General features: G+C 44.1%; 1 protein-coding gene and 1 long non-coding RNA gene across 5 annotated transcripts in view; both read left to right on the top strand.

The window, feature by feature from the left end:
- Nucleotides 1-26,172, top strand: part of PDE10A (phosphodiesterase 10A) — a 660,764-nt gene that overhangs the window by 22,575 nt on the left and 612,017 nt on the right. The window lies entirely within an intron of this gene.
- LINC00473 (long intergenic non-protein coding RNA 473) overlaps nucleotides 1-26,172 on the top strand; it is a 63,992-nt gene that overhangs the window by 22,562 nt on the left and 15,258 nt on the right. The window contains exon 2 of one of the 2 annotated variants that reach the window (NR_026860.1): nucleotides 24,712-26,022. The exons of the other annotated variant lie outside the window; for it this stretch is intronic. This is a non-coding gene — a long non-coding RNA (long intergenic non-protein coding RNA 473). Of the gene's footprint in view, nucleotides 1-24,711; nucleotides 26,023-26,172 lie in introns of those variants that run through there. 2 annotated transcript variants of the gene reach the window in all.

Here is a 26,172-nt window from a genome sequence, read left to right as displayed (position 1 = left end):
TGGTGATTTTCACTCCAAGAGTTATCCTCAGCTCCGTATTCCCGTGTTCAGTGCCCTGCTGTACACCTGCCACTACCCCTGATTTATACCCCAGACTCATCAAGAGCACAGTTCACCTTGTGTCTGCCCCACCAGTGTCTCCTCTGTGTAGGGAGTTGGCCACACCATTCAGAACGCTACCCAGCCCGGAAACTTGGGGCCATCACTTTTCTGGACAGTTGCGTAAGTCCCACCTCCTCGCCATCCCTCTCCTCGGGGCACCTACCTCTTCCCTGCTGTGGTTGCCTTAATTCCAGTCCTCACCATCTCTCACTTGGACAACTCTGGTTTCCCCTTGCAGGTTTACATGTTTAAAATACAATCTCTATATTGCTTCTTCTAAAATATATCACATCTGCACTGTGCCCTGTAAGGCACCTGGGTGGCCGTCAGGGTCAAGTTTGGCCAAAGGCCCCTTTATTTGCCCCTACCCCATCACCTGGCCATTTGCCGCTCCCACCCAACTGAAGGCTTGATGCCTCTCTCCCCTGGCACCCTTCCTTCTCCTGTCTGCCTGCTGAGCTTCTCCTCCTCCTTTAACAAGCACGGTCATGTCTTCTTTATAAAGTGCTCCTTGATTTTCTCACGCAGGGTCTCACTCCCGTCTTTATAGCCCCCTATGCACCTTTCTCATCATTATGTGGGTCCATCTGTGTACCCAGAGCCAAAACAATGTTTAAGGAATATTTTAGCTGTGATTTCATGTACACATCTCTCCAGTAATTATGTATTTACATGGCCATCTCCTTCTAAATTGGGCACTGCTGGATAACAGGGACCAGGACTTATAAAGTCTGATTCCCATGTGCCTAGGACGCTCGCTGGCACATAGGGAGCATTCCGTTGTTGATGAAGATGATGAGAGAGATCGTGACTCATCTCATGGTAAATTCCACTAGCATCCCTAAGTAGAATTGGCTGGGCACTTTTTAAAAACTGATGACTATTTCAGACCATTACGCCCAGATTTCATCTCTACATTTTAAAAACAGTGTAGTAAAGCTGGCAATGACACAAAAGAGAACAGGAGAAAAACAATTATAGTGATAAAAAAAATAAGTCCTATGAACAATAAAAGAGTAGTTGAGTGTTCCTTAGCACTCCACACCTCACTTTTGGTGTCTATGAAATGAGGAGCTGGCGGCTGACCGAGTCTAAGTCCTCTTCTGGCTTGTAGGAAGCCCGATGCTAAGCTGCAGCTGCTTGGCTTAGGGAGGACAATGGAGCAGGAGTTATTTGGGGTAAACCTTGACAAGTTGCTCCTTGTTGCCTTCAGGCTGATAATGAAGAAGTGGGTTAAATATTATAGGGAGAGTGTATAGCTAAAATGAATAATTTCTTGGCAATAAAAGAGAGAAAATAATGAGAGAGCTGAGAGAAACCTTTACATCTGTACGTTTTAAACAAAGAACCACTGTTTTTGATTGCATGGGTATCACCTGCCAGGAAAGCAAAGAGCTTTGATGTTGCCGCTGACACCTTAGCTGACGGATTCTTGCCCTTCCTTCCTTCAAACCTCGATAAGGTGCAGTGGACCAGGGGCTGTCAGTCAGAGTTTGGCAGGTGAGACGGCTGCCTGGCCCAAGCCAGGATAGAGGCCCAAGGAGGGATGGCCACAGCTCAGAGGAGGAGGCACAGCACAGCCTGAGTGGTCAAGGAGGACGTGCCAGCAGGGGATACCACCTTCCAGCAAGAGGGGACTGATGGTGGGGTCAAGAGAGGAAGGAGTTGAGGCTTTTCTCAGGACAGGTGTGGCCGCCCCCATGCTGCTGCCTTCCTCCGGTCACCCACCCTCTCTGGGCCCTTTTCTTTATTAGTAAAATAACTTGTCCACTTTCAAACACATACTGGGTACTTTCTGACAAACTCTCACCACAGTCCACTGGGGTAGATGTTGTCCTCCCATTTTAGATGAGGAAATTATGATCCAAAGATGTTAAACAACTGTAGCAGGCCACATGGCTAGAAGGTCGCACAGCAGGCATTCCCTCCGGAACTACTTCCTTCACGCCACTTTTTAAAATATCAGCTCATCTCCTGTAAAGATGAGGATAGCAGCTCCTACTAGGCCTGTGTAAGTATCCAGTGAGAGGGTGCTGGAAAAGAGGTTTTGAAAACTGTGAAGCATTATTCAGATGTAAGTCATTAGTAAATAAGACAGATTTGTTTCACAGAGATTTTGAGCTTCCCTGGATGGGAGATTAAGAACATATTTGCTCTTCTCTTGTGTAAGTGTGTATATGTGTATGTGATATATATTAGGGTGTGGGGGGATCTAACACAAATCTTGATTCATGTCTTGAAAAATTTTTATTTCAAAGGATGGAAAAGGTTGCATTCTTCATTCAACACATTAGTCATATGTTCTTCTGTGTTAACATATGACAAATTTCCATCCCGAATAGACTGATGTTTTTGTAAGATTGGCTGGTTATCATAGCAATTACAACCACGCGTGTGGGTGTGTGCACTCACGTATGCATGCTTGCTTCATACGTTAACTCATAAAATAACTAGGTTCAATGTATGGCACCTAAGCCACAGGTTAATTTGCTGATTATTAACCTGTGCCTCTGGTGAGGGCACAGAGGTCTGGCCAAAAGCAGATGGACCTTATTCACCCAAGGAGAGTGATCATGGTCCTGCCATTCCTGCCTGGGTGTCTTATTGGTTTTATGAACCAGAATTTATAAAGGTCATAATGAGGACAGTTAATCTTTCGCCTCTGCTGGCTAGTTTGGGCCTAGATATGACATCACCACAGCCCGTCTGGGAGCTTAAATCCTGACTGATGTCCTCAAGTCATGTTATAAAATGGACCAAAATGTGCATGGCTGACATTCCACAGCACGTGGTCAGAGTCTGGGAAAAACATGAACTTGAACCTTAGCACATCCTGTCCCAGGGCCCCATGGAAAGGTATTTCTCCATGACTTTGTCAGAATGTGCATTCCCACCTGAATTCTGCAGCCGAGCGAAGCTGAATGAGTAGCCAAATGGTGAAAATGATTCCATGGTGGACGTCTAAGTTCCTGAAGACGAGAAGTGCAACTGCTCAATCAGGCAGCCAGGCTGGACCAGCCCCGGAGCCACTCACCTTTGGGTCCATCCTCATTCCCACCCACTGGTCACCAAGTAGGTCTGACAGTGAGCAAATGGCCAGCTTCCCTGTAGTGGGGCCCCTGAGGTCTCTGAGTCCTGTGATATGGATTAAAGGCTATAACCCAAGCAACACATAGATATCTGGTCAGTTTTCTTTGTGATGTGCACCATGCACAGAGGCAGTGTTGCCCGTGGGGGCAAATAAACTGGGTTCCAATCTCAGCGGCATCATATGAGCCAGGCAACCTTGGGCAATTTACTGTCTGAGCCTCGATTTCCTCGTGTTTCTATCCACCTTGGACTATCATGGGAATAATACTAGACCTTAGAGCTGTAAGGATTTGAAATTACACACGCAAAGTGCCTAGGTAGGGATTGGCAAATAATGCTCCACAAAAGTCACGCCAGTTGGTGACTTGGGTTCATGTCCTTCCTTCATTGCCCACAAACCACCTTTTACTGCAGGTTGTGCCCAGATGGAGGGTGGATCTTGGCTAAGAAGAATATTATGGATTTCTGGAAAGGAGAAATCATTAAGGGGCTCTGGGGTTTTGCTCTGAAGCGGGCATGTCTTCCTTAAGAATTGTGGTTTTGTTCTGGGGCTCTGAAAAGCCTGAGATGACACCATACTGTACAGTCTGGGAAACTTCCATCAAGTCAGAGGCAGAAGTTTGGAGGGGCCATGAGTTCTGCAGGTGACCTGTCACTGTGATGGCACAGCTTTCCAAGCTTGTGGAGGGGACTTGCAAACCAAACAAGGGGTAAGTGGAGGCTTGTTGGTTGTGGAGCCCTCGCTGACGTCATGGGTAAAGCATTTTCATCTCGTGGGTAACCAGCAGTGATCCGGCCCTCACCGCATCCACTGTCTATGATGCCATTCGCCACCTCATGGTAATGAAACCCGCTAAGGCGGGCTTAGCATTTCCACATGATCGCATTTCATCCTGGCTTCCTTCTGAAGTAGGACAGGACTGTAGGAAGCATTATCCCACTCTATAGAGAAGAAAGGTTAACGACTTGCTTGAAGTTGCCCGGCTTGTGATCTCAGCACGAGGACTTGAAGCAAGGCCATCATGCTATGTAGTGACATCCTATTTGTTTTTTGGGACTGAAATTCAGAGGGTGTAAAGCTTTTAAGTGACAGCTTTTAAAGAGAGAACTAAGCTTTAGGGCTCTCAGCAACTGCATCCACAGCAAGGTCCCCTGCACCCCATCCCCACCCTCCCACCACAAGCCTGGCCTCGGACTGGAGATCGACAGGCTGAGAGGGGGTCAGTGACCCTATGCTCCTGGCCCAGAGCTGAACATGGCCTGACCCAGCCCAGGTCCCCTTATGCGTTCTGCCACACTCCCCGGCAACGCTTCCTCCCCTCTTGCTTCTGCCCAAAGACACATTGCAAGCAATGGAGCCTGCAGCGTTAGCTCTGGCCCCACTCCTGGGGGCCAGCGCAGAGCTGCCTCCCTCACTCCCTGCCCATCTGTCTTCTGGGCCATTAGACACTCACTCACACAGAGTGCTCCTCTGTCTTCCCACCCCGCTCCCTGCCTGAGGATCGGGTCTGTCTGTGCTCTATGCGCAGCTTCTCCATCTCCTCAATGCCCCTGGGTCACTGGCGATTCTAGCGCCCTCATATCTGCATTTTCTTTCAAGTTACTAACTCACGTCCCTTGCCGTACAGATCTGCGCTAACTGCTGACATCCTCACAAAATCTCTCGATTCTACAACCCTTTCTAGCTGTCCCCTGCTCTCCTCCTTTCAAGACTACAGGCTTGTCTTTGTCTTTGATGTACTAAAATTTAATGACAACATGTCTAGGGGTAGCCTTCCAACCTTACTGTATTTGGAATTCAGTGGACCTTTCCTCAGTTCTGGGAAGATGTGATGCCATCTGTGAATGTGCTGTGCTCCATCCTGTCTCTTTCCTCGTCCTGGAATCCCGTGGATGAGGGTCGGATCAGGCCTCCACGTGCTTCTGCATGTCTTCAAGCTTTTTCCACGTCTTTACCGGGTGTTCTTTGACAACTTTGTGCTGTGTTCCAGGAAAATTCCTTTGTAACAACTATCACCACATTAATTTGATCTTTGTATGCTACTCAGCCTTCACTATTTTTTGTTTTCAGAATTCTAGTTTTCTTTACTATGATCTTTATTGATTCTCATTGATTTTACCTGTTCTTGCTCCTTAACCTCCTTAATGGCTTTTGAAGTACAGCAGCTCACTTTCTCTCTAGGTGGACCATGTTTAATTGTATCAAATCCCCATTTTAATTTTGGATGGCTGTACCTTGGTTCTATGTGTTGGGTTTGTTGTCTGTCTTTCATCCCAGTGGCTAATCTTTTGCTGGATTGTCCCTTGCTGTGGCTGGTGCAGCTAACTGTAGATAAAGTGGGGCAGGGAGAGCTGCAGGAAGTCGCCTCTGGGTGTGTTCCCCTCATTGGTTCCAGTGGAAGTGGGGAGAGGTCATGGTGTTTGGTGCCTGAGCTTTCCAGCTGGCAGCTCTCCAGGGTGGCCCTCCTAAGTTGCCCCTCCCCAGGCGAGATCTCTCTGTCAGGAAGCAGGCACCTGGGAAGCAGGAAAGTGGGAGAGAGGGCCCTCTTCAGACCCTACTCGGGAGGTCTCACCAAGCAGAAGAGCCTCCCCTGGGGGTCAGGCTCAAGTCTTCTCTCACCCGCAGCTTTAACTACTCCCTTCCCGCTATTTTCTCCAGAAACAGAGGGTGTGGATGGAACATTATCCAGGGAAACAGTTTTTAAGCTGACTTCCACAAATATTCCAAAGATATCCAGTCTCCTGAAATGAATGCAGAAACTAGATGATCATGTATCTCTGATCCAATCCATATATAATTGATATATAATACTTGTCATAGGGAGGGCAGTGGATAAATGGCTCACTATTTTTTATGGCCAAACACCATGACTTTTCCTATATGTTCACAAAAGCATTAGTGCAAGAAAGAAAAGCCAGGACTTTGCAGTGACCTCTCTTCTTTCCTCCCCATTTGCCCTCCCTCACTTGCCTCCTCCCATCCCCACCCTATCCAGCTCAAAGAGGAAATCGCCTCTTGCTGCCAGTATGGAAACCATTGCTTGGAAATGAGGAGCTGAACATTTTTTAGGAATGGCCTCACCTTGGCTTCCACATCCACAGGACATATTGCAGACTTTTCACTCTAATATATATGTACGAAGTTTGCCAAGAACAGCCTGGGGCAGAAGTGTTGAGCTTCAAACTCTGCTATGTTCAGAAGGAAACCGAGCCCCATTACCACCCAATCTTGCTGCTGGTCCAGTTCTCAGCCTGGTTAGAGGGATCCTGACGCTGAAGCTGTGCACTTTCTGCCTTTCCTGTAGCTGGCCCTCAAGCACTATGGCCTCCAGTTTTCCAGGGCAACTGGAATATTGAAAGTGATGAGCTAACACAGCAGCTTCCATTGCTTTCCATGTGTCTTTTGGGCAGAAGCAAGAGGGGAGGAAGCACTGCCGGAGGGTGTGGAATATTGAAAGTGATGAGTGATATTGAAAGCCCTCCAGACATGAGTCGGGAGGCATGGCTGGCTTGCTTTCTTCTTTCTTTCTTTCTTTCTCTTTCTTTCTTTCTTTCTTTCTTTCTTTCTTCTCTCTTTCTTTCTTTCTTTCTCTTTCTTTCTTTCCTTCCTTCTTTCCCTTCCTTTCCTTTCATTTCCTTCCTTCCTTTCTTCCTTCCTTCATTCCTTCCTTCCTTCCTTTCTCTCTTTCTTTCTCTCTTTCTGTCTTTCTTTCTGTCTGTCTTTCTTTCTTTCTTTCTTTCTTTCTTTCTTTCTTTCTTTCTTTCTTTCTTTCTTTCTTTCTTTCTTGTCTTTCTCTCTTTCTCTCTTTCTTTCTTTCTTTCTTTTGTTTTCTCTCTTTGTTGCCCAGGCTGGAGTGCAATGGCACGATCTCAGCTCACTGCAACCTCCGCCTCCTGGGTTCAAGTGATTCTCCAACTTTCTTTTGAAATTGTAGGCCAAGTGGTAATTATTTGTAACTGCTGGTTTTGGCTTTTCTTTCCCATTCGGGTCATTTTGTATTTTGCTCCTGGGCACCTGCGTGTTCAAACCTCCTGCCTGGCGGGCTTTGCTGTCTTTTGTGGGTGGAGGAGCCCAGGACGTTGAAGCTCAGAAGGTCCTGCTCACAGACTGTGGCAGATTGTTCCCGGAGACGCTGGGTCTCTACTCATTAAACCAGTGGATCCCATGTTTTGTCTCTCTTGCTAAGTGGGAGACCGTCTGTGTGAGTTCTCATTCTGGGAAGGATCAGAAATATGTCTCAATAATTTTCTCCTGGAATGGAAGCTGAGAAAGACCGTTACGATCATGCTTGAGATCAAACCCACTGCCCACTGCTGGGGAACCACCGCTTGCTCTCCAGCCCTGAGAGGTGTGGAATTGAAAGAAGGAGCTGGATTTTCGGCCAGGGCCTCCATGGAGACATGGACCTAATTCAGACTCCCCCAAACACAATTGTTTCAAATTGAGATAGAACAACTCTATTTTAAAGGTGGTTCTGTCTTAGTATTATTATTCATGTCTGAACATTTCTGCCTCCTTCCAAATATTTTAAGCTTTTAGAGGCTGGGGGTTATTTCTTACACTTGGGACATATTTTGTCTTCACAATGCCCAAGCACAGCACCTTCATTAATAAGGAGGTTATTGAGCAAAGTGGTTTGGAGCTGGACTCCCATGGGCTTTGGAGTCAAATTGCACAAATAAAGTCATTCTTGTGAAGAACTTAGCACAGTGGCTGACAGAGGGAGAGGTCAGAAAACGTTAGTTGTAATTATTATTAATCATATATATTTTTTGGTTTTGGGATTTTTGTTTTCTGTATTTTTTTAGAGATAGGTCCCTCTGTTGCCCAGGCTGGAGTGCAGCTGCACAATCACAGCTTACTGTCACCTTGAACTCTTGGGGTCAAGCGATTCTCTCACCTTAGCCTCCCAAGTAGCTGGGACTACAGACATGTGCCACCAAGTCTGACTAATTTTTTAAATTTTTGTAGAGATGGGGTCTCAATATGTTGCCCAGGCTGGTCTCAAACTCCTGGTCTCAAGTGATCCTTCCACTTTGGCCTTCCAAAGTGCTGGAATTATAGTCACGAGCCCACTGGGCTGGGCCTGTGCTCTTTGAATGAGTCTGTTAAGTGGCTTTTAGGTAAAGGTGTTAGGAAGAATTTCTCACCCCTACCCTCATATCTGGCAGCCCTCTGAGTTCACTCTTTGAGTAGCACAGGTCTCCTGCACTAGTAGCCAGGAGGTCATTTTTCTGGCTTTGCAAATGCTCCTCCCCTGAAGCCTGGCCAGCAGCTGTGTGGTGTGTTCCTAGCCCACCTCCTGTGCTGATTATGACTTATCCATCAACCCCTGGGCTGGCCCCACTCCTTCAAATGCTCTGAGAGGGTGGAGGTGGAATAGTGGCCCATGCAGTCAATAGCTCCTTAAGTAAAGGTTGATTTGGAAATATACCATCATTTGCCTATGGCCAGGTCTTAAGATCCCACTTGCCCTTCAACTCTATGACATGATTCGGATTCCATACCATGGTTGACACATCTGTTCCTGTGCTCCACATGTCAGAGACATGTCAGAGAGAAATCCCGCAGCTCACCAGCTCCTTGTATTAATAGTTATGCTTTTAAAATGAGAAACATAGGAAAAGGCAGGATCTGGTAAATCTTGTCACAGGTTTAACTTAAAAGACCTGAGTATTTCTCACATTTGCTTGAAGAATAACTTTTCTCACTCACAGAAATTAAAAGAAAATTTGGATCCTGCAGGTGAATATTATGGGATTTTGCAAGTCAACCATGTTGAATTTCTGTATTAATTTGCTTTTCTTATGTGACTTTCATCATTCCTGTTCAGTTTTTAGAGATACTAGTAAATTAAACACTGTTAGACCCACTTGGAAGAATTAAACCATAAGAAACCACAAAAATCAAGTCACCTAAATAGGGTTTTAGAAAAGGATTCAACAAGATGAAGAGAAATTGCCACAGGCATTGATTCCTTCTCTTGAACTCTTCAAAAAAGTGGAGAAATAAATAATAGTATTTGGGTTATTTCTCCTGCTAATAGGGTACCCTGCTCTCCAGGCTCTAGATTTGCATAATGTAGATTAGTTAAGAGTTAAGTAGAAATTGCTGAAAATAAGATGCTACTATTATGACACGAATTTTACTAATTCATACAATGCACTGTTTTATTTTTAAAAAATCTAATAGTATCAGACATTTTAAAGTTGAAAGAACCCTTGACAATTTTCCCATCTATCTCCCAGTCTTCTGTTCAGGCAGTTTACAGATGTTTCCATTTTATAGACGTGACTGTTGAGGCATCAATGTTAAGAATATGCTCAGAAGTTGTAGCAAAACAAAACATACAAGATGCTTCTTCTGTATAGCTTTAGGAATTTTTATATGAATCAAATGTATATTTTTATGTTTTATGTTATTTTACCTTTGGTAGTTATGTTATACTTCCAAAATATAGGTGCAGGTATTGGCAGCTTTTAACTTTTCATTTGTCATAGTATCCTGTTTGCACTACTAGTTAACACGTTACTAGAATTTAAGTTCTTTAAATTCTCTGGTCTTGCATAGTTGTTTTTTTCTTGTCAATAATTTCTAAAGTATGAAGAAATGACTTTTCTACTCGCACTTAAAATACTTCCATATGTGTCCCATATTAAGATTTTCTAATGTGGATTAGTATCTGGCTTTGTGAATTTCCTGAATTGAAATGGTGGGCTTTGTAAGAAGAAGATTACGGGTAATGGGAACAGCAGAATGGTAGCAGGCAGACGGTGGAGGTAGACGCTAAGCTCCCATGTCAGGCTTTACATGGTGACTAAAGCGGAGGTGGCAAAGGTGTGTGAGCAAATAAGGGACCAGTCACTTCCACGTTTCAGGAAGCCTCATCTGGAAATTGTTGGAGAAACACTGAATACAGGGAGACTGAAGAGGAGACAGTTTGGAAGTTATCGCAAAGATCCAAGTGAGAGATAATGATTAAAGTAAAGGAGTGGAAAATAAAAGAGGGATGCCATTAAAATGAGCTTTGCCTTCTCTGTCCTCTGTGCACCTCCAACCCTATACACCGAGCACGACCTTGACCCTCGGGCTATGTGGAGAACTTGGGGATTGTAGCCCCAAGGTGAGTGCGAGCCCTCTTGGGCTCCTTTCTACGCGTGTGGATCAGTGGTGGCATAGAGGCCGTGATGGCAGCGGAGGAGCTGTCACGGAAACGGCGACCATTCTCAAAGTCCTTAATGGCCAGGTCCCAACCTGGGCAGCGAGGAGATCCTTGTGGAGGTGTAAGGCAGGTTGGAATGGGCCAGGCTGGAGCTACGTTGAGTTTGTTGAGTTTTTTGCTTATTGCTGTTAATTCCCTGCAATAACAAAGCCTGTTGCTTTAGCTAATTCATGACCTTCTCCCTTGCTTGTCTCTGCTTGTGAACTTTGAAGAAAGAAATGCTGGCCTGTCCAGCCTCCCCTGCACACAGAGGTAGCCATGGGACAGGGCCCAGCTAGTGAGATAGAAAGCCAAGGCTGTGTAGAAGCTTCCGGAAACCCTGAGCCTTCTTGTAAGGCCTTCTGGTGCGATCCCTGGTGGGCTGCTTGGCCTACCTGTTGCTGTGCCCGCCTTGCAACTGAGGCGCAGCCAAGATGAAGCTGGAGTCGGCACAGGTGGTGAGGAGGGAGGACGGAGAGACCCTGTGCCTTTGATGACAATGCTGGCAGCTGCCTCTGTCCTCTCTTGTTATCTTAGCAAAACGAATCCTAACCCTGTTTTATGCTCTGCTGGTTGAGTTTTGTGTTCCTAACTGATGGACTTTAGGAAGCTGAGGGCTTCTTACCCGTAGGTAGACGTTAAACTGTGAATGTCTAGAACCAAACCAAGTGTCCATGTGAGTGTGTGTGATCTTTAAGACATGTAGCAGTTATTATGCAGCCACCACGTTTATATTCAGGTCTGACAACTTAATCTTAGCAATATCAGTACGTCACAAGAGTGGTAATGTCAGAAGCACCATCTACTATAATATTTTCATCTAAAAATTGTTAAAAATTTTCATCTTTCCATACAAAAATCTGCAAAATAATGTTTATAGCAGCTTTATTTATAATTGCCCCAAACTGAAAGCAACCAGGATACCCTCGGTTAGGTAAATGGATAAACAAACTGTGGTCGTTCCACACAGTGGAATATTATCCAGCATTACAAAGAAATGAGCTGTTGTCAGGAAAAGACAGCAAGGAACCCCAAATACACATTACTTAGTGAAAGAAGCAATCTGGAAAGGCCATGATTCCAGCTATATTGGTTTCTGGAAAAGATGAAACTATGGAGACATTAAAAAGATCAGTGGTTGCCGGGGCTCGGGAGGATGGAGAGATGAAGAGGTGGGACACAGGGGAATTTGAGGACAATGCAACCATTTTGCATGTTACTCAAATGGTGGATACAGGTCACTATGTACTTGGTAAAGTACATAGAACTACTGTAGAACTGTACAACACAAGGAACCAACTCTGATGTAAGCTACGCACTTTAGTAAATAACAATGTGTCAGTATTGGTGCATCACTTGTAACAGATATGCCACACTAGTGCAAGACGCAGATAGTAGAGGATGCCGGGGACGGGAGGACTCTCTACTGTCTGCTCAGTTTTCTGTAAACTTAAAACTTCTCTAAAAAATAGAAATCTATTTTTTTTTTTTTTGAGACGAAGTCTCATTCTGTCACCCAGGCTGGAGTGCAGTGGCACAATCTCGTCTTGGTGCAACCTCCGCTTCCTGGGTTCAAGCAATTCTCCTGCCTCAGCTTCCCGAGTAGCTGGGATTATAGGTGTGCGCCACCACACCCGGCTAATTTTTGTATTTTTAATAGAGATGGGGTTTCACCATGTTGGTCAGGTGAGTCTTGAACTCCTGACCTCAGGTGATTCGCCCGCCTCGGCCTCCCAAAATGCTGGGATTACAGGCGTGAGCCACTGTGCCTGGCCAAATTTTTATAATAAATATTAAACAGCCCTCAAATTTCTTTTATTTCTTTTGGTAATAAATATTACTATTTTAGAAAACAATATTTAATTCCTCAGATATTGGAAGGGGTAGGAATGGAGTACTATTAACTAGATGGTTGGAAAGTGCCTCTGCAAGAACAGAGGCACTGAGGGCCCAAGTCATAGAGCAAGTCCTAAGTGCAAACTACAATGCCGAGAAGTTGATTAGCTTCAATAGACACAAAAAGGGAGCTCAGCAGCAAGCTCAAACACGGATTTTCATTTTATGAGTCTCCCTGCTTCACTTCAGAATTTCCTCTAATGCTGGACTTAAAACATAATTTTCAGGTAGGACCTGAGGGAGGCCGCTGGGCAGTTTCACACTCATGAGAGGATGGAAAAACCACAACTACTTTTGGTTAGGAATGCACTGTGGCCTTTTTTTTTTTTCTCTTATAAAAATAATAAGTGGCTGAGGAGATATCTGTGAAAGATTTACTTAAGCAAAGTGGATGGAGCCCAGTGTGAAGGACGACTAGGCCCATGTGAGCCCTGATAGCTGGAGGATGCGGAGGATTCTGGGCCCTGAGGCCAGGCTGGTCAGGGCAGCTGCGCTTTCCGTCCCGTGCAGAGCCCTTTCTCTCTGCCCAGGCGGGGAGTTGAAGAGGTGTGGTTTCCTGCCTCTCCCAGATTTCTTAGTCCTCCCGTGAGTTTTCTCCATTTCTTAAAAGAAGAAAAGCAAATGTTGACATTTTTATTTCAGTAGTCATATTTAAGAATCAACACTAATAGAGTCTGCATGTTTTAGAATTGAATTTGCAAATGTGTGTGTGTAAAACTAAGAAACGGTGTCATTTTCTGGTGTTTTTCCCACAGACCATACAACATAACAGGTTCCTGTTGTGGCTTCATTATCAGGTTCAAACACCTGATTTTGGCAAAAGCTAACCAAGATAATACGTAATGTATGCATGGTTTCTTTAGGAGCTGTATAGTTATGCTCCGTGAGACATGTGGGCTCTATTAAAGTTGGGGAGTGAAGAAAGGCACAGGTGAAGGAATCAAATCCCTGGCACGGTTTCTGGCAGAGGCCATGGGGGCTGCTGGTGGGTGCATGGCAGCTTGCTGGCTGAGAGGCGTTCCGGAGCCAGAATGCTGACGTTGAACCCTAGCTGGGCACGTATTAGATGCACAGACTGGGAAAGTCATTTAATGTCTCTGCCTCGTTACTTCGCATGAGGACTTGAGGATAATAACAGCACCTATTTCAGGAGGCTATTGCGAGAATGAGATGCACATGTTGGAAAGTACTTACCTCCCCTGGCATAGTAAATTCATGATGAATGTCAACTATTTATTATAAATAACTAGAGCAAGTGTATGATAAAATGCCAGTTGAAGAGTTTTGGCTAGTTTTTAGCTAGAACAGGGCTGGGCCCTTTGTAGGGCCCCAGTAAAAGCTTGTTGAATGAATAAATGGAAGAAGGACCATGTATTAAAAGAGCCAGGTCACCACTTGCATGGAGAAGATGTGCCCGCACCTGGATTTGGAGAATTGAGGGCAGTGGGAGAGGAGCCTAAAAAATTAAACTAGAAGAAACGGCAGGCAGAGGACAGTGCTGGAGAACGGAGAACAGACTCGTCTAAATGGGGGAGTCAGTGTTAGGAGACCGAGTGAGAAAGGAAGGCTGGAGCCAGATGGAAGAGGACCTTGCACATAAGGGTCCCATTGGAAGTTCACCCTACGTCGTGAGTGGTGCAGAAGAAGCTGGATGTCGCTCTGCTTCAGGACCAGTGGGAGGGGCAATTGACGGTTGGTAGGGAAATCAACCAAGGAGCTGTGGCAATCCAGCTGAAGGATGCTGGACACGGAAAGGAGGGCTGTTAGCCAATAGATCAGAAAATACCCCCAGAAAGGGATCTCAGGTTGGGCAGAACAAAGCTTGACAGAGCAGATCAACCTGAATTGAAGTTCTACAAGACTCAAAAATGAACAAAAGGATGCACAGGTAATACTCAAGAAGAAGACGTAAAACAATGTTGGAGATGATGTTTAATATACTGACCTGTGAGTGTGTCTGTTGACTGTGATCTAATGTGTTACTTTACAGAACTGGCAAATCTAGCGTGACTTTGTATCAGTTCGGAGGTAGTTTTTCAGATCCCTCCCCAGCTGACATCCCTAAACAGTGTGGCTTATTTCAACCTTGAGAAAGACCTTCATGGCCTTTGCCAATCCCACAAACTGACTTCTAGAGCTTAAAGTTGGCATAAAATGATACAATATGTAAGAACCAAGATAACCCACATTTTTATCATTCCAAACAATGTAGGAAAGAATAATGTCCAAAGAAATCAGGATCTTTTCAAAGAGGACACATGTTCTTTATTAAATCAGGATGAGAGATCAGATCTCCCAACGTGTACCCCAGTTTTACATTACTTTATTAATTTTTCACGTGACTTTTGTTGTGTGTAGCCCTGGTTCATGTCTGGGGATTCAGCCAGCTCAGGATACTCACCATCCTGTAAGCAGATCTCCCCTTTTTTTTAGTGCTTTAGACTTCCAAGGCTCAGCTGAAGACGGCTGTAACTTAAATTGGTCCTCCTCATCCATGGGTACCCACTCCTGGGCTGGCAGCTGCTGTCCTCCTGACTAGAAGGCCGCCTTCTGCATCCGAGCAGACCTGGTCTGCACAGGTATTGGGAGTCTCCTGTGAACGCCCACTTGCAGAAAGCACTCTGTGTGCAGGGAAGAAGGTTCTAAGCAGAGCTGGCAAAGCCTTCTGTGCTGGAGCTCCCGCCCGGTGTCCTTCCTAGGGAACAGGTGCATCACTCTCACACCCTACACGGGGTTCCAGGGAAGCAAGCTCCTCTCTCATTCTTTTGATAGAAATCAGAAGCTAAAAATTCCAGAAGCTCTCAGTGTGCAAATAGAAAATGCTAAATGCTGCTCTAGACCATGTTACTGTGAGTGAATCTTGTTGGGTAAAAAACTTATGGCTATCAAGCTATAAAAGCCTGTTAAAACATTTAACAAAGACTGTACTTTTGTGTATGCTGGAAGGATAAATATTGTAGTATTTTTTGGGATCTCCTATTCAGGTCACAGGATATATTCAATTTTATTTTAAACATTTAAAATATATAAAAGAAATAGGTCATATTTTCAAGCCAATCTGACTTCATCTTCTAAGGGAGATAACCTAACAATGATAAAGCAGTCAGCTTAATCAGGACAAAGCAAAAACAAGAGGCTGGACTAAACACATGCAAAATAATACTTATTTTTAAAAGATGCCTCTTGCATCAACATTCTTGTTCCTCCTCATGTTTTAGCTCTTATGATAATTAAATAAAATTTTAGTTTTTGATTTTCTCATTTTTCCCCCAGGGATCATTTTACTTCCTATCATCAACAAAAATAGCCAGAATTATATTGAAACTCATGCGATAACTACAGATGATCATTTTATTCATCTTTGGATGTGTTCGTTTTTCCATTTTTTGGTGAATTTCTGGACACTGATGATAAACCACGACAGAATACTTTTATGTACTGTGCCTCCTCCTAAACATTTTTCAGACACCTCATTATGTAACCTGCAGCTCATAATGAATGCATAACATGTGTATCATATTAATAGAGTTCTTCTAAAGAGATCTCCTACGTTTTTATTTTCAAGTAGTTCTTCATGTGGGGGATGGTCAGCGGGAGATGGCACTTCATAAGATCTGCGGTGGTCACCCCAGTCATCATCCGACGTGTTGCACCAGTCTGTGGCACTTCATAAGGTCTGCAGTGGTCACCCCAGTCATCATCCGATGTGTTGCACCAGTTTGTGGCACTTCATAAGTTCTGCGGTGGTCACCCCAGTCATCATCCGACGTGTTGCACCAGTGTGTGTTGCTGTTTGAGCCGTGCTGCCGACCCCTTCCAGGGCATCTGCCATGGGCACCTCCTCCAGCCCGTGCACTAAGACTCAAGAGAGTCGAAGAACCAGGGAATCGTTGTAATAACAAGCATTCTGAATTGCATCGTACTGTGTACTAGGTGGGTTTAAAAGATAACTCATCTCAAATGGGTTAGCGTGACCAATATGGCTTAATCGTGATGTTTAACTGATTTCATCTTGCCATGGAGCCTATATCCCCATTGAGGGTGGAAGAAAAGATAACATTTTTCTTAGTTAAAGGTAACAATCTTTTCTGGACTGAAACTATTTCTTTTTGAAAAATAGAGTTTCTGAATCCATCAACTCAAAACTCAGATTATTTACCAGGGCCATTTCCTGTTTGCTGCTTCTTCCAAAGTAGGTGCCCTGTGGCAAGACAGATGCGATGGCTTCCTGGAGTCAGGACAGGGACCACACATAATCGAGGCTGTCACGTTTTGTTGCATGTACCTGACCTCACGTGGTGGCACAGCTTCTCTCACTGGGACTCTGGGCCAAGGCCTCAGTCCTCCCTGTACCTACTGCTGTGGGGCCAGCTTAGTCACTCCCCTAGGCATGGCCAAGGCGGAAGTCCCCTCTGCAGCTTGCTTTGTCCCACCTTGGCATTCATGTAGGATTCAAACAAGTCCCTCACCTGGCCCCTGGCTTAGACTGTCCACCCACAGCAATCTTGGCTCTGAAATCACCTTGTTTCTCACCTCGATGGTTTCTTGATGGGCCTCAGCTCTCAGCTACCTTCCTTAGCAGGAGTATTCGGGAACTTCTGTTGCTGGAAACACGGGAGAGCATTCTGCCCGAAGGCCGCACTGCCATTTCTCCTTTGAGGTAGAACATCACCTTGGTGCAGAGCACTCCATGAGGTCTCCTCCCAGAGCCTTCCCGGTGGGAGGTAGGTGCAAGCTCCTCTGCTCTCTGACTTAGTTCTGCCTCCATCCCCACCACACCCACTACTGAGAGGTGGAACCTCCTCCCCAGGAAGGGAGAATCAATAACTCTTTCTCCTGGCAGTGTACTCTTCTCTTGTTCTCCATTGACAGAGCTTTATACTTTCTTTGCCTGATGGTAGGAACTTCCTCTACCTATCCTGAGGTCTCTCCACCTGCACTTGATAATAAAACTCTTGGTTCAGGTCTCAAGGTCTTATTTTGGTCTTACTTTTATTAAGTGGAAGAAGACTTTGCAATTTAGACATCTCTTGTCTATTGACAGACACACACACACAGACACTCTCTCTCTATATATATATGTATATATATGTATGTGTATATATATGTACATATATGTATATGTATATGATTCTTTGCATCAGAGAAGTCCATTGTCAAGATTCAGGTCGAATTCTGATTTGACAAGGTTTTCTCCTATTCCCTGTAATTTACATATAATATTCTGAAAATAAAGCAGAATCTTATGCCATTCCAGTCTGTTTGATAGGACATTACCTAACGCTGCCCTTTCAGAAGGCCATACTTAATTGGTGAGATGGATAATTCCAGGTCGGGGGTAAGTGATGTCTTGCTGTGTCAGGAAGCAAGGAAGCAGCCAAAAACCCATACGATTGTGCAAAGAGAAGCCCCTTCCTGTTGGCCAAAAGTATGACAATTTCGACATCAAAAGTAGCAGTGGTTATAGCATATTAATGCACATTGAATCAATAAAAATACGTGAGTCCATAATGAAACTCAAAAAGCAAAAGCTAGGAAAATACGTTTATGCCACAACTTGAGATGACTACTAAACCAACTCATTACATTAAGAATTTGACACTGAAAAGCAATCATTATTTACCCTCTCTTTCCAATATGAACTGCACTGGGGATAATGAGACAGCTGAGTTGGTGAGAGAAAGCTCTATTTTAAAAGAATAAAAGGCCATCAATAATATAGAATAAATGATAGAATTAGAAAAATCAACATTAGATATGTAGTTTAATGCAGATCTAGACATTGATCTAAGGGAGAAAAAGTAGCTGTACAATGGAAGGATTATATGATCAATCTCTTAACCCACTGTCAACTTAAGCATCAGCAATGGCCAGTCAACCAGGCTTTATGTACACAGCATCACTTAACATGTAGTCTAATCCTAAATGTCTAATTTGAATTTATAAACGTTTAGATCTGATTTTCAGCTTACAGGAAATATGGGAGATAGAGGAAAAGACAAAATGACTCCATGAGGAAATACCCAGACACGCCCAGAAGATGAAATGTGGTCTTCATCAATGACTGCACGTCATTGATAAAGAAGCTGTGGTAGATTAGGAGCAACCTAAGGAAAGCAACAAGGTACAATGAATGGGCCTTGACTGGATCCTGAATGGTTAAGCCAGCTAAAGAAAATGTTTGGAGCAACCGAGTAAATTTGAACGTGGACTAGATATTATATAAGATGAAGATTCATTGAAATGGAAACCTAGAGCTTATTAACTGAAAAAAAAATGGTTATAAAATTATACGTAAAAAGTCATTTCATTTTAGGTATGCAAGTGTATATATAGATAGAAAATATCTGAATTATATTCAATAATGTGTTTCCTGCACTAATTTCTGGATGGTAGAGACATGTATTTTAATTATTAAATTTCTGATCATGTGAAGGTCATGTAGTAAGGCCTGAATGATATATTTATTAGTTTTTTAAATAGCCAGGTAGTTTTATGTATTTATTATGTGCAACATGATGTTTTGAAATATATATACATTGTGGAATGGCTAAATCAAGCTAACTAACATATACATAACTGCACAGAGTTGTCATTTTGTGGTGAGAACACTTAAATTCTACTCTTAGCATTTTTTAAGAAGGCAATATATTCTTTTTTCCTTTTTCTTTTTCTTTTTTTTTTTTTTTATTTTGAGATAGAGTCTTGCTCTGTCACCCAGGCTGGAGTGCAGTGGCGCAATCTCGGCTCACTGCAAGCTCCGCCTCCTGGTTCACGCCATTCTCCTGCCTCAGCCTCCCTAGTAGCTGGGACTACAGGCGCATGCCAGCACACCCGGCTAATGTTTTTTATTTTAGTAGAGAGGGGGTTTCACTGTGTTAGCCAGGATGGTCTCAATCTCCTGACCTCGTGATCCACCCGCCTCAGTCTCCCAAAGTGCTGGGATTACAGGCATGAGCCACTGAGCCTGGCCGACAATATATTCTTATTAACTATAGTCACTATGTTTTGCAATAGCTCTCTTTAGCTTATTCCTTCTGTCTCATTGAACCTTCCTAACCCGTGACCAATGTAAGGGAAAAGCTGTATGACATTGGTCTAGGCAATGATTTTTTTTTGGTTATGACCCCAAAAGCACAGGCAACAAAAGCAAAAATAGACAAATGGGATTACTTCAAACTAAAAAGCTTCTGCACAGCAAAGGAAACAATCAACTAAATGATATCTTTAAATGTAAAAATAGCACATTATGGCTGCATGGCATTTTTACAGTTGCTAAAGTGCAATCACACACATTTCCCCACTTGGTTTAATTATTTATCTATGAAGTAGACAGAATTAGCATTATTGTACCTGTTTGCCATATGTATATAGAGAACTAGATGACTTAGTGACTCTATTAGTTATCTATTGCTCCATAGCAAATGTCTTAGGCTAGTCAGGCTACTACAATCAAATACTATAAACAACAGAAATCTATTTCTCAGAGTCCTGCAGGCTGGGAAGTCCAAGATCAAGGTGCTGGCAGTTTCTCTTCCTGGTTTGTAGATGGCACCTCCGTGCTGTGTTTTCACATGGTGGAATGGGCAAACAAGCTCAACGGGGTTTCTTTTATAAGGGCACCAATCCCATTCATGAAGGCTACACCCTCATGACCTAATCACCCCCCAAAAGGCCCCACCTCCTAATACTATCACCTTGGAGTTTAGGATTTAAGCATATAAATTGGGGTGTGGGGACACAAAGATGAAGACTGTAGCAACAAATTATTCCAAAATTTATTGGCTTAAACAAACAAGCATATATTGTTTCTCATAGTTTCTGAGGGTTAGGAAGTCAAGAGTAGCTTAGCTGTGTGGCTGTGTCTCAGAGTCTTTTATGAGACTTCAGTTTAGATGCTGGCTGTAGTTATATCATCTGAAGTTTTACTGGGGCTGGAGGAACTGATTCTAAGGTGGTTCACGGCACATGGCTGTTGTCAGGAGGCCCATTCAATGTGGAGGCTGGCCCTCCCCAAAGCAGGTGGCCCACTGAGCAAATAAGCAACCAAGTCAGAAGCTGCAATGTCTTTAGAGCCTGATTTCAAAGTGACACACTCTCACTTCTTCTGGGTTCTGTTGGTCACACAAACCAACCGCCCTGTGCAACATGGGGGATGTGAACACCAGGAGATGGGGGTCACAGGGGCCACCATGAGTTGGCTCCCACACCCAAGGTCATTGCCACACTCAAGGTCATACCAGCTGGCAAAACTAGAAATTGAAGCCCTGCCTTCTGAGCACAGAAGATTTTCACTTCACATAGACTTTTCATAAAAGGACCTTATCCTCTTTAAGTATAGAAGATACTTTTTTTTCAAAAATTTTCTTTGCACAGTGACATATTTACTGCAGTATTTATATGACATCACTAAACACAGAGTTGGGAATCCAACCAGCTCTTTGAAGCAAGAATATGTGAACGTGAGTGGGCCCCAGCATACCACAGGCAGTTAGTTCTGCTCTAATGTAATGTATGTGTTTCTACGTTAAAAACTGCAGGGCTTATGGGAAAATGGGGTTAGGGACACAACATTCAAAAACTTTATTAGTGACAAATAATAAAAGATGAGGAACCCAATAAAAATGGTAGCACACAGTTATACATTTCAACTCATTAAGAAATCTGTAAATACCACAGTAAAGACGTCACGTTGAAAAGATCACCTTGAGAAAGACCTGAAGTTTGCTTGTAGAAGTGAGTGTCCCATGCCTGGGGGCCCACCATGTCCACCTCCCTGTCTGCAAGAGGAAGGGAACCAAAGAGTTCCCAAGAGAAAAAGAACAGAAAACCAAAGGAAAAATACAAAATATCTGGGATTCAAGAGGAGAAATTAAAGAGACGGTGATATGGTTTGGCTGTGTCCCCACCCAAATCTCATCTTGAATAATCCCCATGTGTCCTGGGAAGGAACCAGTGAGAGGTAATTGAATTATGGGGGTGGTTACCTTCATGCGGTTCTCCCAATAGTGAGTGAGTTCTCATGAGATCTGATGGTTTTAAGAAGGGATTTCCCCCCTTTTTGTTCAGCACTTATTCTTGCTGCTGCCATGTGAAGAAGGAGGCATTTGCTTCCCCTTTCACCATGATTGAGGGTTTCCTGAGGCTTCCTCAACCATGCAGAACTGTGAGTCAATTAAACCTATTTCCTTTATAAATTACCCAGTCTTGGGTATGTCTTTATCAGCAGTGTGAGAACAGACTAATACAGAAGGGAAGGCACAGAGCTGTGCAGCCGGTTGGTGGCAGGAAGGGCTGTAGCTCATGTTGTTTTGAACTGCTGGTAGGAGTATGTGATGGATAATTTTAGGTGCCATCTTGACTGGGTTAGGTGGTGCCCAGATTGCTGGAAAATCACTATTTCTGGGTAGGTCTGTGAGGACGTTTCCAGAAGATATTAGCATTTGAATTTAAACACTGAATAAAGAAGATCCTTCTTCACCAACATGGCAGGCATCACCTGACTCACTGAAGTCTCCAATAGAATGAAAAGGTGGAGGAAGGGTGAATTTGAGTGAATTATCTTTGTATGATCTGAGACATTCATCTTCTCCGGCCCTGGAACACCAGGTTCTCCAGGTTCTCAGACCTTTGGACTCTGTACTTACGCCAGTGGCTTCCCAGGTTCTCAGGCCTTTGACCTCAGACTGAGTTACAGCATCAGTTCTCCAGTGTGTAGGCAACAGATCATGGGACTTGCTAGCCTCCGTAATTGCATGAGCCATTCCCATCATAAATATTGTGCTCAATAGATCTGTATACTCAGTTCGTTCGTTTTCTTTCTTTCTCTTTCTTTCTTTCTCTTTTCTTTCTTTCTTTTTCTTTCTTTCCTTCCTTCCTTCTTTCTTTCTTTCCTTCTTTCTTTCTTTCTTTCCTTCCTTCCTTCCTTCCTTCCTTCCTTCCTTCCTTCCTTCTTTCTTTCTTTCTTTCTTTCTTTCTTTCTTTCTTTCTTTCTTTCTTTCTTTCTTTCTTTTTTCTTTCTTTCTTCTCTCTCTCTCTCTCTCTCCTCTCTTGCCTCCCCTGCCCCACCGCACGATTTCCCTTCCTCTCTCTGGGTTCTGTTTCTCCCCAGGGTTCTGGAGCACCCTGACTAATACAAGGGCTATCTAAAATCCTATGGGTGGGTGTGGCTCCTTGTCTTGATGAAATGCATGTGTGTGAGATCCATCCTTCCTATTACATTCACCTGGCTTCTGAGCAACAAAATGGTGCCTGAGCAAACCGACATTGACATGACACTCAAATTGTTCCCTAATTTACCAATCACAGTGGAACAAATCCTCATTTTCAGAAGAAATGTTCTAGCAGAATGGGCTGTAGTTACACCCTGGAATTGGCAAACACCATAAACCAGGGCTTTCCTCCTGGAGGGCCTTGTCGTAAATACCTACCAGCACACTGTCGAGGTTAAAGCACTTTATGTAGGTTGGTATATAATAGTGCCTAATAAATGATCAGAATTAGCAGTACTTTTCCCAAGAAGAGGTCCAGTGGGATTTGAATGGAACAAGCTGAAACTGGGAGCAGACAAGGCAAGGGCAGGTGAGCAGAGGCCCGAGAGCGGGGCAGAGCGGGGGCAGAGCGGCGAGCCCTGGCAAGCACACATGGCAGGGCCCACTGTCCACAGTGGGTGGCAGCGAGCACAGGTGAGCACACACCGAACACATCTCCCTCGACAGCCTCCTTCTCTGGGTGCAAAGGGGCACTAAAGATGATGCCTCACAAATTATTAACATCCTTAGTAACTATCTTCAAGGCAGAAACAAAACAGGGAACAATAACAAGCTTCAGGGAGTCTTTATTTTGTGAAGGGGTGTGTGTGTGTGTGCGCATATATGTGTGTGTATATATATATATACACACACATACATACATATATAAAATCATAAACTGGCATTTTTAATTCCCCTGCTACCCCAGCACACATATGATATACTACAGCGTGGCTGCTCAGCGTGGCTGTTGGCAGCCCTAACTGGAATATTTAATAAATGAGGCAGTAACGGACATTTATTGAAAAAAGTTTTTATGAGAAAACCCCAAATGTGCACGTTTTGAAGTTGCTTGCCAATCATGCCTGAGGGGCAGAGTCACATCCAGGAATCACTGTCCGGATGGCATCATGAGAGGATGGCTATGTGGATAGGAACGATGACTGAAGCCAGGTGCATCCCTAGTGGCTTCTGCCCCTGAAGTGCCCAGGGAAGATCTTGGTGATGGGGGATCTTTGGGACTGCTCTTAAAGAAAGGTGAAATGGCAGGAGATGGGGGATGGCTCTGCAGGTGAAAGGTGGTGCATTAGGCCACTCTTCCATTGTTATAAAGAAACACTTGAGACTGGGAAATTTATAAAGAAAAGAGGTTTAATTGACCCACAGCTCTGCATGCTGTACAAGAAGCATGGTGCTGGCATCTGTTCAGTTTTTAGGGAGGCCTCAGGAAGCTTACAATCATGGCAGAAGGCAAAGGGAGAGCAGGCACATCACATGGCAAAAGCAGGAGCAAGGGAGAGTGGGGGAGGGAGTTGCTACACACTTTTAAGTGACCAAATCTCGTGAGAACTCTATCAGGAAGACAGCACCAAGCCGTGAGGGATCCACCTCCATGATCCCGACATCCCCCACCGGGATGTTGCAGATTAAAATTCAACATGAGATTTGGGTGGGGACAAATATCCAAATGATGTCAGGTGGGCTCTGTGGGAAGGCCAAGAGGCAAGGAGTGTTTTCAAATGACTGGAGTCTGTCTGGTTTAGACAGAGAGCTCATGGAGGGAGTCTCTCCACCTCTTGAAAACAAGGCCTTAACAGCCACAGAAACAGATTTTTATTGATTTCAGAAAGGCCCGAGTCCATTTTTTCTCTTTGGATGTAGTATTAATGAATTGCTAAGCACTCCCATCTGCCAACCATCGTTCTAAGTGTTTTACTGGTATCATCTGGTTTAGTCCTTTCAACAACCCTATGGGGTGTGTAAATGTTACTATACCCCATTTATTCAAGGAAATGGAACCTAGAAGTATCAGTAACTTGCCTAAGGTCAGAGTACCAAGTGTGAGATGTGGGCACAAATCCCGGACAGACTTCAGAGTCTGAGCTCTTATCTCGCTGTATTGCCTCCCCTACTGCGCTCTACACCAAGAAGTGTTGAAGTGTGCGTGCAGCAGTCCTGAAGTTGATGGTGGGTTATGTTTCTTCTAAAGGCACTATGGAGATGAAACAATTTAAGTTCTATCAGTGTTTTTCATAGAAACACGGCTACTATAGCACCAAAAGTTGGAGAAAATTACCTTTATTTCTGCATTTCATCAGTGATAAAGGCTGCTGAATTGTGCTTATCATTGGTTCATTTCCCACAACTAATCACATTTCACTTTATTCAAGACCTTTTAAAAATGGAACTGTCGGCTGCGGCTGGAAGGCGCAGGCAGGCGCCCTGGAGAGAATTCACAGGGAGGCACAGGACAGAACGCTCCCAGGAACGAGGAAGCACCCCCAGAAAGGAGCGCTCTATGGGCTCCAGGCAGCCGAGGAAACGCGAACGTGAGCCCCGTGACTGCACTCCCACGTGCACCAACGCTGCCAGTGTGAGCAGAAGCGGAGCCCGCAGAGCGCCAGGCTGCGCCGGGAGATGCATCACGATGAAAAACTGCGCCAGAGCATGGCGGGAACTTTCCGAGAGGGCGTGTTGTTTCCAGGCGGTTCCACCTTCTAATATGAAACAGTCTTGGTTGATTTTCCTTGATACTACTTTATGCTCGGCCTGGTTGTTGGCAAGTAGCTGCCCGCGTCTGTACGCGCCCTTGATTAGTTTCCACTGCATGTGTTTTAACACAGTCCTCCTTTTTCCACGTTTATTTGGGCCAACCCTGTCTGCAAAGATCCAGTTTAATACAGATTTGAGTCTACGTGCTATAGCCTGGAAATGTACTAAAGACACTACAACATATTGCTGAAAGAATAGAATCTTTATTCTGAATGCAAAGCGGACACCTAGTAAAAAATTCTGGAATAATAAAACAAGCAAGGCTTATGTGCTCAGTTTTGGGGACGCTCCAATTTAAAGGCTTAGTCATTGTCACGGTGTAAGGTTTACCCATTGCCCCCATCACACAGATGTGGGATTGTTGAGAGCTGAGTGTCCTATGACCTCTTCTGCTGCCCAAGAACTTGGGGTGGGTGGTAACTGGAGAAATCAAAGTGATCAGCTGCAAAGAACGCTTCCATTGCTGGAGCTTGGTTGTGCGGGATTCTCCACGGAGGTCTTAAGGCAGAGACAAAAACAAGGACTTTGGGAGGCTCCTGTGAGCAGCCAAAAGGGTTTAGAGTCAGGCAGCCTCAGGTTACAAATCCAGTCCTGCAGGCTAGGAGTTGTGTAAGCTTAAAAAAGTGACTGCACTTCCAGGAACATCATTTCCCTACCTGCTCCTCCTTCTGACGGGTTTTCTGAGGACAATGGAATCCACACTCTGTGTCGAACACTTTTCTAATTAGCGATGTGCAGACACTGTTTATTTTACAGGAATAAAAATGCCAGAAGAACCCAAGTCATATTCATTTAAAGCAGGGTGACAAGTACACCAAAATCTGAAAAATCATCACTAAAGAACTTATCCATGTAACCAAAAACCATTGAAATAAAAGTAAACTATGGAAACAAAATTTAAAAGTAATAAAATTTAAAAGTCCAAAAAATTTATAGCAGTTCACCTGTTTCATTTCTTCCTTTATAAAATTGTATTTAGAAATTTGTTATATGTGTCTATGCAAACGTTTTAAAAAATGTAAAAATGTGGAATTCCATAATGCTGCTTACTGATTTACAGATATAAATACATCCACGTG

The sequence above is a fragment of the Homo sapiens genome, chromosome 6, assembly GCF_000001405.40.
Source record: "Homo sapiens chromosome 6, GRCh38.p14 Primary Assembly".
In the NCBI taxonomy this organism is placed as follows: Eukaryota; Metazoa; Chordata; class Mammalia; order Primates; family Hominidae; genus Homo; species Homo sapiens.
Note: the sequence above shows the minus strand (reverse complement) of the source record. Positions and strands in the feature narration are given on the sequence as shown.